Genomic DNA, 19,077 nt, shown 5'->3' with positions numbered 1-19,077 from the left:
TATCCCCAATGAATATTAATGCAAAAATCCTCAACAAAATGCTAGCAAAAAAAAAATTCAACATCACATTAAAAGGATCATACACTCTGACCAAGTGGGATTTATCCCTGAGATGCAAGGAAGGTTCAACATACAAAAATCAATGTAATATATCATGTTAATAGAATGAAGGACAAAAAAAATCACATCATTGTCTGAATTGATGCATAAAAAGTGTTTAAAACAATTTAATATTTTTTCATGATTAAAGCTGTCAACAAACTAGGGAAAAAAGGAAATTAACTCAACATAATAAATGCCATATATGAAAAGCCCACACTTAACATCATATTCAATGGTGAAAGACTAAAAGCATTCCAGACTTTGGTGCTACATATATTTCAATTTAAGGAGCAATTTACTGTCAGTCCGCTATATTATTTTTTGTGTTACTATAGAAGCAGAGAACCTACTTTTAAAAGGGCTGCATATGATAAATTCTAGAGAATTTTAAGGTAAATAACTATATTCCCTGTATGACAAAGCTGATATTGACTCACACTCCAGTCTTTCCTTACGCAGGTGAATTTGAAGAGTTTTTTCATTGTTGTTGCTTTCAGGTTATGAGGGATAGCTGCCAAAATTCTAGAACTGTTACTTATTTCTCTAATTAGTTCCTAATTGGGGATGCTATTATGTTGCTCCTTAAAATGCAAAGAAGTCAGTTGCAGCTGCAGAGGTCTGTGTTCACCATTCAAAACCTTTCTGGCCTGAAAGGATGATAAACTCCTTAGTGCTTTCCCTGAGCAATGTGATTGGTTTCGTGTTTGTAGCCTATTGTGCTGTTGGTAACTCCTAGGCTTTTCTTGTATACATATATGTCAGAATAGGAAGAATTTGCTTCTGGTTCAATCAGTATTTCTCCTGGAAGGTGGAAGGGGACCTGGGAGAGCTGTTAATCCAGTCTGCTGGGTAGTGTATGGCAGAAGTGAAGAAGCAGGCTACTAAAACAATAGCCACGAGTGGTGGGACTTGATGATATATAGACTTCACCTGCTCTGGAACCAAAGCCGATAATAAAGTTTACAGTTTATAAAACACAGTCTTAAAATATTTATGTGGCTCTGTAGGTGAATTGGATCTGTTTTTCAACTCTGCATGCAATCATGCTGTACCAAAAGCACTGACCTTTATAAAGGAAAAATAGACGTTGTACTAAGCTGTTCAATGAATTTGATGTTCTACTTGAATAGGGATTTTGTGTTTGGTAGAGAAATTGGAGGAAGTAGGGAAATGATAAGAAAGGTGCTTAGCTACCTTAGTATTATATATAGAAAGCAATGGAACTTCTGCATTTCCATAAAATGTTAACTATCCTGAAAGCACACTATCCAACAGAAATTTCTGCAATAATGAAAACATTTTCTACACTGTCCCATATGATAGCTAACTAACCATATGTGGCTACCAAGCACTTGAAATGCGACTAATGTGACAAAGAAACTGAATTTTTTATTTTATTAGTTTTAAATCAATTAAATTTAAGTAGCCACACGTGGCCAGTGATGACCATATTAAGCAGTACAGCCTTAAGCATTGATTTTAATCTGTTTGGACTTACTGAATTTTTTTTTTTTTTTTGAGACTGATCTTGCTCTGTCCCCCAGGCTGGAGTGCAGTGGCACGATCTCGACTCACTGCAAACTCCTCCTCCCAAGTTCAAGTGATTCTTGTGCCTCAGCCTCCTAAGTAGCTGGGATTACAGGTGTGCACCACCACACCTGGCTAATTTTTGTACTTTTAGTAGAGTTGGGGTTTTGCCATGTTGGCCATTCTGGTCTCAAACTCCTGGCATCAAGTGATCCTCCCACCTCAGCCTCCCAAAGTGTGGGGAATATAGGCATCAGCCATCGCGCTCAGCCTGAACTTATTGAATTCTTTATAAATACGTTAAAAATTATGTACCCCTTCTACCTAGAAAAATACTCAATACAAACACATACTCTCCAGGTGTTCCCAGATGCTCTGAGTCATGTCTGTGGATCTGTAGTTGCTATATTCCCTGAGAACTTATATTCTGGACCGAGATACTTAGTAACAACAAATTGTGAATATGTGAGGATGTAACGAAAGAGAAAGTGAGGAGATCAGAGAAATAACTGATCTAACCATGTTGACATGAAGCACTGGTATGTGTGTACAAGTTACAGTTGACAGGAAATTCTAGACAAATAGCCCCTGGATATCTAAGTGGGCCCCTGAAGAGAGTACTCATGGGGAGGCCCATAGTTACTGCCCCTTCTGAAGAAGCTGGTGCCTATGTATGACTGCTACTTCTAAGGCACTTGTAGTCAGGTGCATGGTTGTGGGCTTAGGGTTACTGCTGGTTGACATACCAGCAACTATGAACTCAGAATGGGAGAAGAGTTAAGATAAACTGGAGTTCAGTGGACTATTGGACACTTCTGGCCTGCTATCCTAGTGTCTGACTATAAAGTTTTTTCCAAGAGTAATGACTCCACATTTATTTCTGCCTCCCAAATCTTACACAAGTTTCTTTCTTGACCGAAACTATTCTGAACCCACACAGGGAAGGGGAGTTTGAGAAATATAGTTTCCATTCTTACCCAAATTGACAAAACACATTCAAGCATATGGTCCAGCCTTCTTATATCATAAATGATTTTATGATTTATAAATGACAGTGCTTTTAATGTCATTTATAAATCATTGGGCATATCTAATCTATATTTCTTATTTTATAAGTGATTTTCAGAATGCTTTATAATTGATTGGCACAAGAATACCCAATGGGAGATCATAATTCAAACAGAAGTTGTCTAATCTTTAGTACATGGAAGGCTCTTTTTACTTCTACACAAGCTGGCAAACATGCCCCAAAGCTTTTATAGCTCATACTCTTATACTGATGAGAGAGGATAAAGGGCTGAATAATATTTAAGGACAGTTCCCATTTCCATTCAGAGACAGTGACTCAGGTGGAACCAGCCAAATGATCACTGGAGCACACAGAAAAAGCTCAGGGCTGAATTACTTATAGGGCTTTTTATGTCTCTGTGGATCATTGGCCTTTGGCTAAAATTCAGGTATATCTTTATAAAATAAAAGATTAATATTATCTTCCTTGCAAGCCGACTGAAGGAATGCAGTGGTGCTCACATTTACCCACTGTGCCAGCTAAGAAGATAAATCGATCACCATTCTTTTTGTGACAAACTTTTAGAAATAATGGTGTATAAGCAAATGAAATGCAAGGGAATTATTTATGTAATGGAGATATTTGTTCTCATAAATTGTCAAATTATAAATAGCTACTGACCTGTTAGATTTTCCTAAGGCTGTGCTCTTTGCTTTTATCAACTTTATATATGATTTATGAAGGCAGATGCCTTCTATTGAAAAAAATGAAAGAAAATCTGACTTGCTTATAAAAGGAATTCAGAAGTAAGTTTTTTGAGTTTTAAAATACACTGAATCAGGAGTGATAATATAAAATGTATATATATTCACCAAAAAAATCAAAACTGCCATGTAAAATACCTCATACTTTATAATTCATCACAAAACATTTATGAAGTTGATATTACAATGCCCATATTATATAATAAAATTTGAGATACATGGAAATGTGAAACTTGTTTATATTGTTATCGATGTCAATAGTAAAGATAACATGAGTTTGCCTTGGTCCTAGTCTATAAATACACTTTATCTTAAGATAGTCTAAAAATATATCTAGCCTTAAACTAAATGTGGAAATCAAAGTCATGTACTCCAAGACCCATGTTTTGTTTCTGTATAAAATTTGAGGAAAGCTTATTAAAAGGAGCTATTTTGTTATTTTATTACAATGAAATTGGCTGAAGACAGAAAAGTCCAGTCAAGGACCACATTGATGACATTTTGAATATATCATCTAAGAGAGAACAATGGAATTCAACAGAGAAGTGATGGGAAGCTCTGGCAGCTAAGGAGAGGGAAGGATGGTGTACTGTTCTGTTTTCATGCTGCTGATAAAGACATACCCAATTTTACTGGGCAACTTACAAAAGAAAGAGGTTTAATGTACTGAGGAGGCTTCACAGGTTTAACATGGAGGAAGGCAAGGAGGAGCAAGTTACATCTTACATGGATGGCAGCAAGTAAAGAGAGAGAGCTAATGCAGAGAAACTCCCATTTTTAAAACCATCATGTCTTGTGAGACTTGTTCACTATCATGAGAATAGAACGGGAAAGACCCATCCCTATGATTCAATTACCTATCACTGGGTTCCTCCCATGACACATGGGAATTGCAGGAGTTACAATTCAAGATGAGATTTGGGTGGGGACACAGTCAAACCATATCATTTCACCCATGGTCCCTCCCAAATCTCAAAACCAATCATGGCTTCCCAACAGTCCCACAAAGTCTTAACTCATTTCAGCATTAACTCAAAAGTCCACAGTTTAAAGTCTCATCGGAGACAAGGCAAGTCCCTTCTGCCTATGAGCCTATAAAATCACAAGCAAGTTAATTACTTCCTAGATACAATGGGGTTATAGGAATTGGGTAAATACAGCCATTCCAAATGGGAGAAATTGGCCAAAATGAAGGGGCTACAGGTGCCATGCAAGTTCAAAATCCAGCAGGGCAGTCAAGTCTTAAAGCTCCCAAATGATCTCCTTTGACTCCATGTCTCACATCCAGGTCACATTGATACAAGAGGTGGGCTCCCACAGCTTTGGGCATCTCCAGCCCTGTGGCTTTGCAGGGTACAGCCCCCCCGCCCCCCTTGGCTGCTTTCATGGGTTGGTGTTAAGTGCCTGCAGCTTTTCCAGGCAACAGCACAAGCTGTCATTGGATCTACCATTCTGGGGTCTGGAGGACGGTGGTCCTCTTCTCAAAGCTCCACTAGGTAGTGCACCAGTAGGAACTCTGTGTGGGGGCTCCAACCCCACATTTCCTTTCCACACTGCCCCCACCATGAGGGACCCGAACCTGCAGCAAACTTCTGCCTGGGCATCTAGGCATTTCCATACATCCTCTGAAATATAGGCAGAGATTCTCAAAACTCAATTCTTGACTTCTGTGCACCCACAGGCTCAACACCATGTGGAAGCTGCCAAGGCTTGAGGCTTTGATCCTCTGAATCAACAGCCTGAACTGTACCTTGGCCCATTTTACTCATGGCTGGAGTGGCTGTGACACAGGGCACCAAGTCCCTAGACCGCACACAGCAGAAGGACCCTGGGCCTGGCCCACAAAACCACTTTTTCTCTTAAACTGCCCGGCCTGTGATGGGTGGGGCTGCTGCAAATGTCTCTAACATGCCCTGGAGATATTTCCCCCATTGTCTTGGTGATTAACATTCGTCTCCTTGTTATGTATGCAAATTTCTGTGGCCAGCTTGAATTTCTTCTCAGTAAATGGGATTTTCTTTTCTATTGCATTGTCAGGCTACAAATTTTCCAAACGTTTATGCTCTATGTCCCTTTTAAAACTGAATGCCTTTAACGGCACCAAAGTCACCTCTTGAATGTTTTGCTGCTTAGAAATTTCTTCCGCCAGATACCCTAAATCATCTCTCTCAAGTTCAAGGTTCCACAAATCTCTAGGGCAGGGGCAAAATGCCACTAGTCTCTGTCCAAAAATATAACAGGAGTCACTTTTGCTTCAGTTCCCGACAAGCTCATCTCCATCTGAGACCACCTCAGCCTGGATTTCATTGTCCATATCATTATCAGCATTTTAGTCAAAGTAATTCACAAGTCTCTAGGAAGTTCCAAACTTTCCCACATTTTCCTGTCTTCTTCTGAGCCCTCCAAACTGTTCCAACCTCTGCCTGTTACCCAGTTCCAAATTTGCTTCCACATTTTGAGGTATCTTTTTAGCTGCCCCTCACTCTACTGGTACCAATATACTGTATTAGTCCGTTTTCATGCTTCTGATAAAGACATATCTGAGACTGGGCAATTTACAAAAGAAAGAGGTTTAATGGACTTATAGTTCCATGTGTCTGTGGAGGCTTCACAGGCTCAACATGGCAGAAGGCAAGGAGGAGCAAGTCATGTCTTACATGGATGGCAGCAGGCAAAGAGAGAGCTTGTGCAGGGAAATTCCCATTTTTAAAACCATCACATCTTGTAAAACTTATTCACTATCATGAGAACAGCATGGTAAATTCCTGCCCCTATGATTCAATTACCTGTCACCGGGTTCTCCCCATGACATATGGGAATTGTGGGAGTTACAATTCGAGATGAGATTTGGGTGGGGACACAGCCAAACCATATCACATGGCATCCTGCTTAGCTGAGAATAGTTGGGAGCTAGGAGAAACTCCCAGACATGAATAAAGGGTAAGTAAGCAGCCCCCAGGGCTCCACATTCCTGTCATGGACTTCTACAATTCTAGCTACAGGAGAGTCCCTCAACCTACAGGGGCCTCAAGGATAACAAGAGAGCTGCCTAGAGATGCACAGAGGCATTGCTTCAGGGAAGGAACTCATGCTGAGTCCCACAGGCATTTGAGCCATGAGCAGCTTCAGCATGGCACCATTCTGAGAGCCAAGCCCCTAAAGGACTGCATCCTACCCTGAAACTGATGCCACCACTGCTGATAAGGATGAGGGGGGAGGCCAGGCACCTTCATGCACCCTGAGGACAATCCCCCCTCTGCAGCTATGGGCTGCCGTGGGACCAAGATGCAAGCAAACTACACTCCCAACATCTACCTACCCATGCTGCTTCCACTGAGACTGGCTCCACCCTCCCCATTGACAGGACCACAGCCTGTGCCATTCTGAGACCTCAGTCTCTGAAGATCTATTTTGCCCTGGGACCAGAACTGCCACTGCCACTACCACCACAGGCCCAAGGACAGAGAGGTGAGACTGGGCACTTTCACACATCCCAGAGACAAATCCCACTGTTGCTACTGCAGGCCACTGTGGGATCAAAGTATGGGGAAACTTCACATCCCACAGCTACCTGATTATCCTGCTTCTGCTGAGAGGGGCTCTGCCCTTTGCATTGGTTGGCTCACAGTGCAGCTGCCACTGAATATACATGAGTATTATGCTGGAAAATTGGGGATAATGCTGTCACTGCCTATCACAGCCAGTGCCTGAACACATGACCATGGGGACTGAAACAAGTCCACTGGCCCAGTCCTACATGCCCCAACCCCCCTATATTCAAGCATATGATCCAGGGACCTGGTGATTGCCCCTACCAGTTGACCACTGTTGGCATCTGAACACTTCTCCCAGGGTCTGTGGTCAGGACAACACTACCTGCTGATATTAACACAGTTAGCACCCATCTTCATGCACTCCTAGAGGGCCAGGGGACTGGTCTACTCAACCCATCACAGCCAACACCACCACCAGCAAAGACCAGGGGGTTCCTCCAACTACTTCTTCTGCCATCATCCATATCATGTCTGCTGTCCAGGGACACAAGAACCTGCCCATAATCCTGGCCTACCATTGCCACTACCAGCATCTGAACAAGCCACCTGGAAACCCAAAAATCAGCAACCATGGACTCATTAATTATGATGCCAGTGTATGCCACACTGGGGCTCAAAGACAGACATACTTAGCCTACTGCTGCCACCACTGGGGCCTGAAGACTGGCCCACCTGGCTTCCTAGTCCTCAGCAAAACTTCACCAAGCCTCCACTAATAAACACCTCCTAAGCCACAAAGAAAATCCTGGATACCACTGACACTATTTACAGCTAAAAAATCATACAAAGATTATATACTACACACACACACACACACACACACACACACACAGAGTTTCAGGAAAAATTCCTTTCCTATAGAAGCAAATTCAACAATTGGAAGAAGTGACTCTTACATTAGATACATTTATATTAATGTAAGTACACAGAAAACATGGAGAAGCAAGGAAATATGATATCTCCAAAAATAAATCTACAGCAACATATCCTAATCAAAAAGAAATTTACAAAATCCCAGAAAAAGAATTCAGAATTCTAATTTTAAAGAAACTCAGCAACATACATAAGAATTTGAAATAGCAATACAGAGAAAACATAAGAACAATTCAGGATATTAATGAGAAGTTTACCAAAGAGATATATATTAAAACAAAAGAACAGAAACTCTAGAATTAAATAATTCATTGATTGAAATATAAAATACATTTGAAAGTTTCAACAATATATTAGATCAATCAGAAGAAAGAATCTCAGAATTTGAGGATAGGTCTTTTGAAATAATCCAATTCAATAAAAACAAAGAAAAAAGAAAAAATGAGCAAAGTCTTCATGACATTGGCAACAATAGAAAACAAGTGAATATTTGAATTATTGGTGTCCTTAAGGACATAGAATAAAAAGGTTAGAAAATATATTTAATGAAATAGTAGATGAAAACTTCCTAATTCTAGCAAGAAACTTAGACATCCAGATGCAAGAAATTCGAAGATCCCCAAACAAATGTAATACAAAAAGGTTTTCTCCTTCACACATTGTATTATTCCATTTCCACACTACTATGAAGAAATATCCAAGATTGGGTAATTTATAAAGGAAAAAGTTTTCATTGACTCACAGTTCAGCATGGCTGGGGAAGCCTCAGGAAACTTACAATCATGGCGGAAGGCAAAAGAGAAGCAGACACCTTCTTCACAGGAGAGAGTGACTGCAAGCAGGGGACATGCTAGATATTTAAAAACCGTCAGAGCTCAAGAGACTCACTCATTGTCATGAGAGCAGCATGGAGGAAACCACCCTCATGATCCAATTACCTCCATCAGGTAATCCCGCCCTTGACATTGGGGAATTATGGGGATCACAATTCCAAGATGAGAATTTGGGTGGGGACACAGCCAAACCATATCACACATTATAGTCAAACTGTCTCAAGTCAAAGCAAAATAAAGGATAATAGAAAGAGCAAGAGAAAAGCACCTAGGTACCCCCATCAGAATAACAGTGGATTTCTTAGCAGAAACCTTACAAGCAGGAAGAGAATGGGATGACATATTCAAAGTGCTAAAAGAAAACAAAAAACTTTCACCCAAGAATATTATGTCCAACAAAATTATCCTTCATAAATGAAGAAGAAATTGAGTCTTTTCCAGATAAGCAAATGCTGAAGGAATTCATCACCCTGAAACTAGCCTTCTAAGAAAAATTCAAGGGAGTTCAAAATGTTAAAGCTAAAGGATGAATTATAGTCATAAAAACACATGAAAGGATAAAAGTCAGTGATAAACCAAATACACAAATGAGGGACATAAAGGACTTAAATGGTACTACTAAAGTAAAACACCAACCTACAATGGCAAACAATGAGAGAAAAAGAAAGGAAAAAAGAATATACAAAACAACCAGAAAACAATTAACAATATGATACTTAAAAAACCTCTTATATCAATATTAACCTTGAATATGAATGGATTAAATTCTTCACTTGAAAGACAGAGAAAAATGAATAAAGAAAAATGATCCAACTATCCTAGAACAAACATATTTAACTTGAAAATACACATATAGATTCCAAATAAAGGGATAGAAAAAGATATTCCATGCAAGTGGAAACCAAAAGCTAACAGAATTAGCTATAATTTTATCAGGTAAAATAGATTATAAATCAAAAACAGTTTAAAAAAAGACAAAGACGGTCACTATATGATGTAAAAATTGATCAATCTAGCAACATGATATAGCAATTCTAAATATATATGTACCCAACATTGGAACACTCAGATTCATAACACAAATATTACTAGATATAAAAAGAGAGATAGATCTACTACAACTATAGTGAGGGATATCAACACCCCACTGTCAGTATTAGATAGACAATTTAGACAGAAAATCAATAAAGAAGGATTGGATTTAAAATGGACTCTAGTCCAAATGGATATTATAGACATTTACAGAAAATTTTCAATCAATTGCAGAATATACATTATTCTAATTAGCACATTGAACATTCTCTAGGAGAGACCATATAATAGGCCACAAAACAAATATCAACAAATTTTTAAAAACTTAAAATTATATCAAGTATCTTCTGAGACCACAATGGAATAAAAATAAAAATCAACACTAAGAGGAACTTTGGAAAATATACAAATACATGGAAATTATATAACATGCTCCTGAATGACCATTGAGTTAATGAAGAATTAAGATGAAAATAAAAAAATTTTTGAAACAAATGAAAATGAAAACACAATATGCCAATATCTATAGAAACCAGCAAAAAAAGTGAAAAAAAAGTTTATAGTAATAAATGCATACATCAAAAAAGTAGAAATATTTCAAATTAACAACCTAATAATGTACTTCAAGGAACTAGAAAAGCTAAGAAAAAAACCAAAATTACTAGAAGTAAAGAAATAATAAACATCTCAGCAGAACTAAATAAGAGAGACTTTAAAAATACAAAGGATAAACCAAATAAAATATTGGGTCTCTGGATAGATAAACAAAATTTATAAACCTCTAGCCACACTAACAAAGAAAAGAAGAGAGAAGACCCAAATAAAAGAAATCAGAAATGAAAAATGAGACATTACAATTGATATCAGAGAAATATTTAAAAAGATTATGAGAGTCTATTATGAGCAACTACATGCCAATAAACAGGAGAACCTAGAGGAAATTAATACATTCCTTGAAACATAAAGTCTACGAAGACTGAATCAGGAGGAAACAGAAAACGTGAACAGACCAATAACAAGTAGTGAGATTGAATCATATACTAAAAGTCTTCCAACAAAAAGTAGCCCAGAACTGGATGGATTAATGGCCGAATTCTACCAAACATGTTTAAAAAATACCAATGCCCCTAAAACTATTTCAAAAAATTGAAGAGGCAACTCTCCATAACTCATTCTATGAGGCCAACAAAAACTAGGCAAGAACACAACAAAAAGAAAACCATAGGCCAACACAGATGCAAAAAGTCCTTAACAAAATACTAACAAACAGAATTCAAGAGCACACCAAAAAGATAATACACCACAACCAACTTGGATTTATACTGGGGATGCAAGGATTATTCAACATATACAAATTAGTAAACAAGATATATCACATCAACAAAATAATATGATCATCTCAAAAGATGCAGAAAAAGCATTTGATAAAATTCAACATCACTTAAAAATGATATACATTCTCAACAAACTAGGAACAGAAGGAATATGCCTCAAAATAATAAAGGCCATATGTGACAAAATCCTACTAAATGGGGAAAAACTGAAAGTATTTCCTCTAAGAACTGGAACAAGTTAAAGATGCCCACTTTCACCACTGCTATTTGACATAGTCCTGGAAGTCCTAGTAAGAGCAATCAGTCAAGAGAAAGAAACAAAAGCCATCCAAAGTGAAAAATAGGAAGTCATATTGTTCCTCTTTCCTAATGACATAATCAGATATCTAGAAAAAACTAAAAACTCCACCAAAAGCCTTGTAGATTTAATCAATAAATTCAGTAAAGTTGCATAATATAAAACCAACATAAAAAGTCAATACACTACACACTAATAATGAGCTAGATGATAAAGAAATCAGGAAAGTAACCCCATTTATAACAGCTCCCAAAAATAAAATACTTAGGAATAAATTTAAGGAGGTGAAAAATATCTTCAAGGAAAACTGCAAAACACTAATGAAAAAAATTGAAGAGTGCACAAACAAATGGAAATACATCTCATGCTTATGGATCAAAAGAATAAATATTGTTAAAATGACCATAGTGCACAAAGCAATATACAGATTCAATGCAATCCCTACATATTTTCTATTTTCACAGAAATTTTAAAAAATTCTAAAATTTGTATGAAAACAAAAAGGGGCTCAAATAGCCAAAGGAAACCTGAACAAAAAAGAACAAAGCTGGAGGGATCACCCTGCCTGACTTCAAAATACATTACAAGTCTATTGTAACCCAAACAGCATGGTATTGGTATAAAAATAGACACATAGACAAATGGAACAGAATAGAGAGTCCGGAAATAAATCCATGCATTTACAAGCAACTTTTTTTTTTTTTAAATATAAAGTTGCCAAGAACACACAAGGGGGAAAGGACATTCTTTGCAAAAAGTGGTGGCAGGAAAATTGGATATCCATATGCAGAAGAATGACTTAAATATAATACCCAAAACTATAAAACTACTAGGGAAAAACAGGGAAAATGCTTTAAGACATTGGCATTGGCAAATATTTCATGGCTAATACTGCAAAAGCGCAGACAGCTATAACAAAAATAGACAAATAGGACTATATTAAACTAAAAGCCTTCTTCACAGCAAAGGAAAAAATGCACAGAGTAAAGAAACAACCTGTTGAATGGGAGAAACTTCTACGAACTATTTATCTGACAAGGGACGAATTAATATCCAGAATATACAAGGAACTAAAGCAACTCAACCACCAATATCAAATAATCCCATTAAAAAGTGTGTTAAGGACATGAATACAATTTTTAATAAGACATACAAATGGCTATCAGGTATATGAAAAAATACTCAACATCACTAATCATTAGGGAAATGCAAATCAAAACCACAATGCAATACCATTTTATCCCAGTTAGAATGGCTATTACTTAAAAAACAAGCAACAAAAAAGCACAGGTACTGTCAAGGATGAGTAGAAAAGGGAACTCTTGTACACTGTTGGGAATGTAATTTAGTACAACCACTATGGAAAGCAGTATGGAGTTTTCTAAAAAAAAAAAAAAAAATTAATACTATGTTATTATCCAGCAATTCCACTATTGGATATTTATCCAAAGGAAAAGAAATCTGTATACCCAAAGGGTATTGCAACACTCTTTACAATAGCAAAGATATGGAATCAACCCAAGTGTCATTGGTGGATTAATAAATTTAAAAATGTGGTATATATATATGCAACAAAATACTATTGGGCTATCGAAATGAATAAAATCATGTTATTTGCAGCAATATGGGTGGAACTTGAAGGTTATTATGTTAATTTAAATAAGTCAGATGACTTATTTAATTATTTAAATGACACCAAAAGACAGATGCCACATTTTCTTACTCATATGTGAAAGCTAAAATATTGATTTTCTAGAATTAGAAAGTAGAATGATATATACCAGAGGTTGGGAAAGGGGAAAGGGGAGATAAAGAAAGGTGGATTAGTGAATATAAACATATAGTTACATAGAAAAAATCACCCCATTATTTGATAGTAGAGTAGGGTGATTATAGTCAGCAATATTGTATAGTATATTTCCAAGTAGCTAGAAGAAGGGACTTGAAATGTTACCAACACATAGAAATGGTAAATACTTAAGGTTATGGATATCCCAAACACCCCCTCACTTGATCAATACATTTTCTTTTTCTCTTTTTTTGAGACTGAGTCTCACTCTGTCACCCAGGCTGGAGTACAATGGCACAATCTTGGCTCACCGCACCCTCTGCCTCCCAGGTTCAAGCTATTCTCCCGCCTCAGCTCCAAGTAGCTGGGATTACAGGCCTGCACCACCATGCCCAGCTAATTTTGTATTTTTTAGTAGAGATGAGGTTTCTCCATGTTGGTCAGGCTAATCTCGAACTCCAGACCTCAGGTGACCCGCCCTTCTCAGCCTCCCAAAGTGTGGGATTACAGGCATGAGCCATTGCGCCCAGCTTACACTTTCTATACATGTAACAAATACTAACATGTATTCCATAAATATGTAAAATATTTTATATCAAGAAAACACACTCCATCAGCAGTACACACCACCAGACAAGAGATATGACAAAGGGGAAGAGTGGAGAGAGATGGTTGAAGTAATTTGGAAACACTGGATACAGGTTATCCAGGAAAGCTAGAGGCTGTAAGGACTTGAAGCAAGGAAGTGATAATGATGCGAAGGAAATATCCAATAAGAGAAAATAAAATGATAAACTTACAGACTGAATGTAGTGCATAAAAAAGGAATAAAGATACACATTTATTGAATTTTAAACACTCAATATATAAACTCTCATTTAATCCTCACAAGAATCCTGGAATGCATTAAAATGCACTATTATATTCTCATTTTACATATGAGAAACTGAGGCACCGAGAGGCAAAGTTATTCAAAGTCATGAAAAGTTGAAGTCAAACCTAGGCTATCCAAGGCTTTGCTATACTAAACCACGTTCCAGATTTCTAGTTTGGGTTACGGGGTAGCTGGGGATGGATTAATTCAGATGAGGACTATAAGAAAATAATGCTTTGCTATCCCTCCCCTAGCCCCCAAACGCCTGACAGGCCCCGCTGTGTGATGTTCCCTTCCCTGTGTCCATGTGTTTTCATTGTTCAACTCCCACTTATGAGTGAGAACACGTGGTGTTTTGGTTTTCTATTCCTGTGTTAGTAACTTTTTAATCTGTAAATACACACACACACAGAAAGAGAGAGAGGGGAAAACGCTTTAAAAAGTAAACACTTTCCCTTACCAATCTTCTCAATAAATTAGTTATATTATTCCTGATACTCCTGGTATAGGCCAGGGTTTATTTACACACATAGACACACATTTGCTGCTGGTCAGAATCTGCAGGCCAACAAGGACAACACAAGAGTGTCATTGGCAAGGCTGAAAGACAAACTCACAGTGTATCTAGCAGCAAATTAGATTAATTAATGAACTCTAAGAACTAGTTCCATCCAGCAGCTCAGGGCATACCCTGAGCCACTTGCTATTGAGATTACAAGAAAAAAAAAAGTATTTATATTATCTTTTGAGATTCTTAGGCTTTTCTACCTATCCAGCCTGTCCTGGACTCACTGGGTCACCAAGATATCTATTGGATATTACTCTATTTCCCTTAATTATTTTGGTTTCTTTTAAATCCACCTTTCTTTTGAGCTAATTAACTTTCATTTTTTTCATGGTGTCTTTCTTATGAAAATGGCTCAATATGAGGCCCAGAAATAGCATTTTTTCCCAGGAATGTCATTTGTATTAGGTTGGTGCAGAAGTAATTGCGGTTTTTGCTATAAAAGTATGGCATAAACCACAATTACTTCTGCACCAACCTAATATTTCTAGTGTCTATTCTTGACAATTAGTTAGGCTGCTTACTAACATATGCAAAGACATATAGCAACATCCAGACCACACCAAAAAGATGTCACATATCTACGTACATTTGAAGGAGCCAGCCTCCTAGTGATTGCTTTCTTATGTTCAGATTGCAAAAAAGTATCAGATTTAAAAGTGTTAGTAACAATTGTTTTTGACTGCTTCTTCATGCAGAATGATTTATAATATGGCAAAAAAGAACATTCAGCCCTCATAGCCTTGGGAACATAAAGTGTTCCCAAGTCCCCTTTCACTCCAATGTATAACATTGATATATAAATAATACATGTACCCCCTGTAAATATTAAATGTTAAGAGTATTTCAATTTAAAGTTTTCATTATATGTGTGTCCTAAGCAAGTACAGTATTTACCCAAAGGTATGGTAGTGCCAAAGGATGCACTTGTTACTCAGGGTAAGAAGAAGAAAGGGAATTTTATCTGATTCTTACTCTGAGCCAGGTACTCTGCGTTTCTTGTTTAGTCTATGCAATAATCCTTTACGCAATAGGTACTATTATCACTGTGTTATATATAAAAAACCTGAGGGCTTAATACTTTAAGTATCTTGCTTAGGGTCTGAAATTGAGAACCAAGAAAAGTTGACTTCAAAAATTATTTTCTTTCTACCTTTATCAAAATAGGTTCTGTTCAATAGGACATTATAGGCTAATGAATAAAAGAAAAAATACACATGAAACAATTAATGAAAGGTAGTACAAAACAAGATTCATTTATGTAGTACCAACAATATAGACGAAAAACTTGCTAAGAGAAATCTATGAATATTGGAAAGAAGTTTATTCACAGATCTGGCACAAATGTGGTATGAATGAGGAAGTCCGCCTAATTCAGAGTTATTTACCTGTGAATTTGACTACAGTGTTGCATTAGTTTTTTATGGCTGCTGCAACAAATTAACACAAATGTGGTGGCTTAAGATAAGACCAATTTATTATTTCACTATATGGGTGAAAGTGTTTGTAGGGCCACGCCCCTGGAGGTTTTAGGGGAGAATTCATTCCTTGCTCCTTCTAGCTCCTGGAGGCTGCCAGCATTTTTGGTTTGCCACAGCATCCCTCCAATCTCTGCCTCTGTAATTCTCAGGCCTCTGAGCCCCAGCTAAGCCATGATATCCCCTGTGACCTGCACGTACACATCCAGATGGCCAGTTCCTGCCTTAACTGATGACATTCCACCACAAAAGAAGTGAAAATGGCCTGTTCCTGCCTTAACTGATGACACTGTCTTGTGAAATTCCTTCTCCTGGCTCATCCTGGTTCAAAAGCTCCCCTGCTGACCACCCTGTGACCCCCACTCCTGCCCGCCAGAGAACAACCCCCTTTTTCCTTTACCTACCCAAATCCTATAAAACGGCCCCACCCCTATCTCCCTTCGCTGACCCTCTTTTCGGACTCAGCCCGCCTGCACCCAGGTGAAATAAACAGCTTTATTGCTCACACAAAGCGTGTTTGGTGGTCTCTTCACATGGATGCCCATGAAATTTGGTGCCGTGACTTGGATGGGGGGACATCCCTTGAGAGATCAATCCCCTCTCCTCTTGCTCTTTGCTCCATGAGAAAGATCCACCTCTCTTTTCTCTGTGCTTGCCTCCTTCACTATGGGCAAGCTTCCACCTTCCATTCCTCCTTCTTCTCCCTTAGCCTGTGTTCTTAAGAACTTAAAACCTCTTCAACTCTCACCTGACCTAAAATCTAAGCATCTTATTTTCTTCTGCAATGCCGCTTGACCCCAATACAAACAACAGTAGTTCCAAATAGCCGGAAAACGGCACTTCCAATTTTTCCATTCTACAAGATCTAAATAATTCTTGACGTAAAATAGGCTAACGGTCAGAGGTGCCTGACGTCCAGGCATTCTTTTACACATCGGTCCCTCTCTAGTCTCTGTTTCCAGTGCAACTCATCCCAAATCTTCCTTCTTTCCCTCCCACCTGTCCCCTCAGTTCCAAACCCAAGTGTCACTGAATCTTTCTAATCTTCCTTTTCTACAGACCCATCTGACCTCTCCCCTCCTTGCCAGGCCGAGCTAGGTCTCAATTCTTCCTCAGCCTCTGTTCCTCCACCCTATAATCCTTTTATCCTCTCCCCTCCTCACACCCGGTCCGCTTACAGTTTCGTTCCGCAACTAGTCCTCCCCCACCTGCCCAGCAATTTACTCTTAAAAAGGTGGCTGGAGCTAAAGGCATAGTCAAGGTTAATGCTCCTTTTTCTTTATCCCAAATCAGATAGCGTTTAGGCTCTTCTTCATCAAATATAAAAACCCAGCCCAGTTCATGGCTTGTTTGGCAGCAACCCTGAGATGCTTTACAGCCCTGGACCCTAAAAGGTCAAAAGGCCGTCTTATTCTCAATATACATTTTATTACCCAATCCGCTCCCGACATTAAATAAAACTCCAAAAATTAAATTCCGGCCCTCAAACCCCACAACAGCACTTAATTAACCTCACCTTCAAGGTGTACAATAATAGAGTAGAGGCAGCCAAGTAGCAACATATTTCTGAGTCGCAATTCCTTGCCTCCACTGTGAGACAAACCCCAGCCACATCTCCAGGACACAAGAACTTCCAAACGCCTAAACCGCAGTGGCCAGGCATTTCCCCAGAACCGACTCCCCCAGGAGCTTGCTACAAGTGTCAGAAATCTGGCCACAAGCCAATGAATGCCCGCAGCCTGGGATTCCTCCTAAGCTGCATCCCATCTGTGTGGGACCCCACTGGAAATCGGACTGTTCAACTCACCTGGCAGCCACTCCCAGAGCCCCTGGAACGCTGGCCCAAGGTTCTCTGACTGACTCCTTCCCAGATCTTCACGGCTTAGCAGCTGAAGACTGACACTGCCCGATCGATTGCCTCAGAAGCCTACAGGACCATCACAGATGCTCTAGGTAACTCTCACAGTGGAGGGTAAGTCCGTCCCCCTCTTAATCAATACGGAGGCTACCCACTCCACATTACCTTCTTTTCAAGGACCTGTTTCCCTTGCCTCCATAACTGTTGTGGGTATTGACAGCCAGGCTTCTAAACCTCTTAAAACTCCCCATCTCTGGTGCCAACTTAGACAATACTCTTTTAAGCAATCCTTTTAGTTATCCCCACCTGGCCAGTTCCCTTATTAGGCCGAGACACTTTAACTAAATTATCTGCTTCCCTGACTATTCCTGGACTACAGCTACATCTCATTACCGACCTTCTTCCCAATCCAAAGCCTCCTTTGCATCCTCCTCTTGTATCCCCCTACCTTAACCCACAAGTATAAGATACCTCTACTCCCTCCTTGGCTACCGATCATGCACCCCTTACCATCTCATTAAAACCTAATCACCTTACCCTGCTCAATGCCAATATCCCATCCCACAGCATGCTTTGAAAGGATTAAAGCCTGTTATCACTCGCCTGCTACAGCATGGCCTTTTAAAGCCTATAAACTCTCCTTACAATTCCCCCATTTTACCTGTCCTAAAACCAGACAAGCCTTACAAGTTAGTTCAGGATCTATGCCTTATTAACCAAATTGTTTTGCCTATCCACCCCATGGTGCCAAACCCATATACTCTCCTATCCTCAATACCTCTCTCCACAATCCATTATTGTGTTCTGGATCTCAAACATGCTTTCTTTACTATTCCTTTACACCCTTCATCCCAGCCTCTCTTTGCTTTCACTTGGACTGACCCTGACACCCATCAGGCTCAGCAAATTACCTAGGCTGTCCTGCCACAAGGCTTCACAGACAGCTCCCATTACTTCAGTCAAGCCCAAATTTCTTCCTCATCTGTTACCTGTCTCAGCATAATTCTCATAAAAACACACGTGCTCTCCCTGCCAATCATCTCCGACTAATCTCTCAAACCCCAACCCCTTCTACAAAACAACAACTCCTTTCCTTCCTGGGCATGGTTGGATACTTTTACCTTTAGATACCTGGTTTTGCCATCCTAACAAACCCATTATATAAACTCACAAAAGGAAACCTAGCT

General features: G+C 38.9%; 1 long non-coding RNA gene across 1 annotated transcript in view, besides 1 other annotated feature; it reads right to left on the bottom strand.

Annotated features, from left to right (window-relative positions):
* Positions 1-19,077, bottom strand: part of LOC105376988 (uncharacterized) — a 52,487-nt gene that overhangs the window by 11,181 nt on the left and 22,229 nt on the right. The gene's annotated exons all lie outside the window — the stretch shown is intronic.
* Positions 5,927-6,117: a silencer, noted in NCBI's record as "fragment chr3:21245759-21245949 (GRCh37/hg19 assembly coordinates)". NCBI's record gives its function as "represses an EF-1alpha promoter that drives an FKBP-Casp9 reporter gene in an ReSE screen in phorbol 12-myristate 13-acetate-treated (for megakaryocytic differentiation) K562 erythroleukemia cells {active_cell/tissue: K562(+PMA)}" and the evidence as "EXISTENCE:reporter gene assay evidence [ECO:0000049][PMID:32094911]".

The sequence above is a fragment of the Homo sapiens genome, chromosome 3, assembly GCF_000001405.40.
Source record: "Homo sapiens chromosome 3, GRCh38.p14 Primary Assembly".
NCBI classification, from domain to species: domain Eukaryota; kingdom Metazoa; phylum Chordata; class Mammalia; order Primates; family Hominidae; genus Homo; species Homo sapiens.
This window is presented reverse-complemented; position numbering and strand designations above follow the sequence as displayed.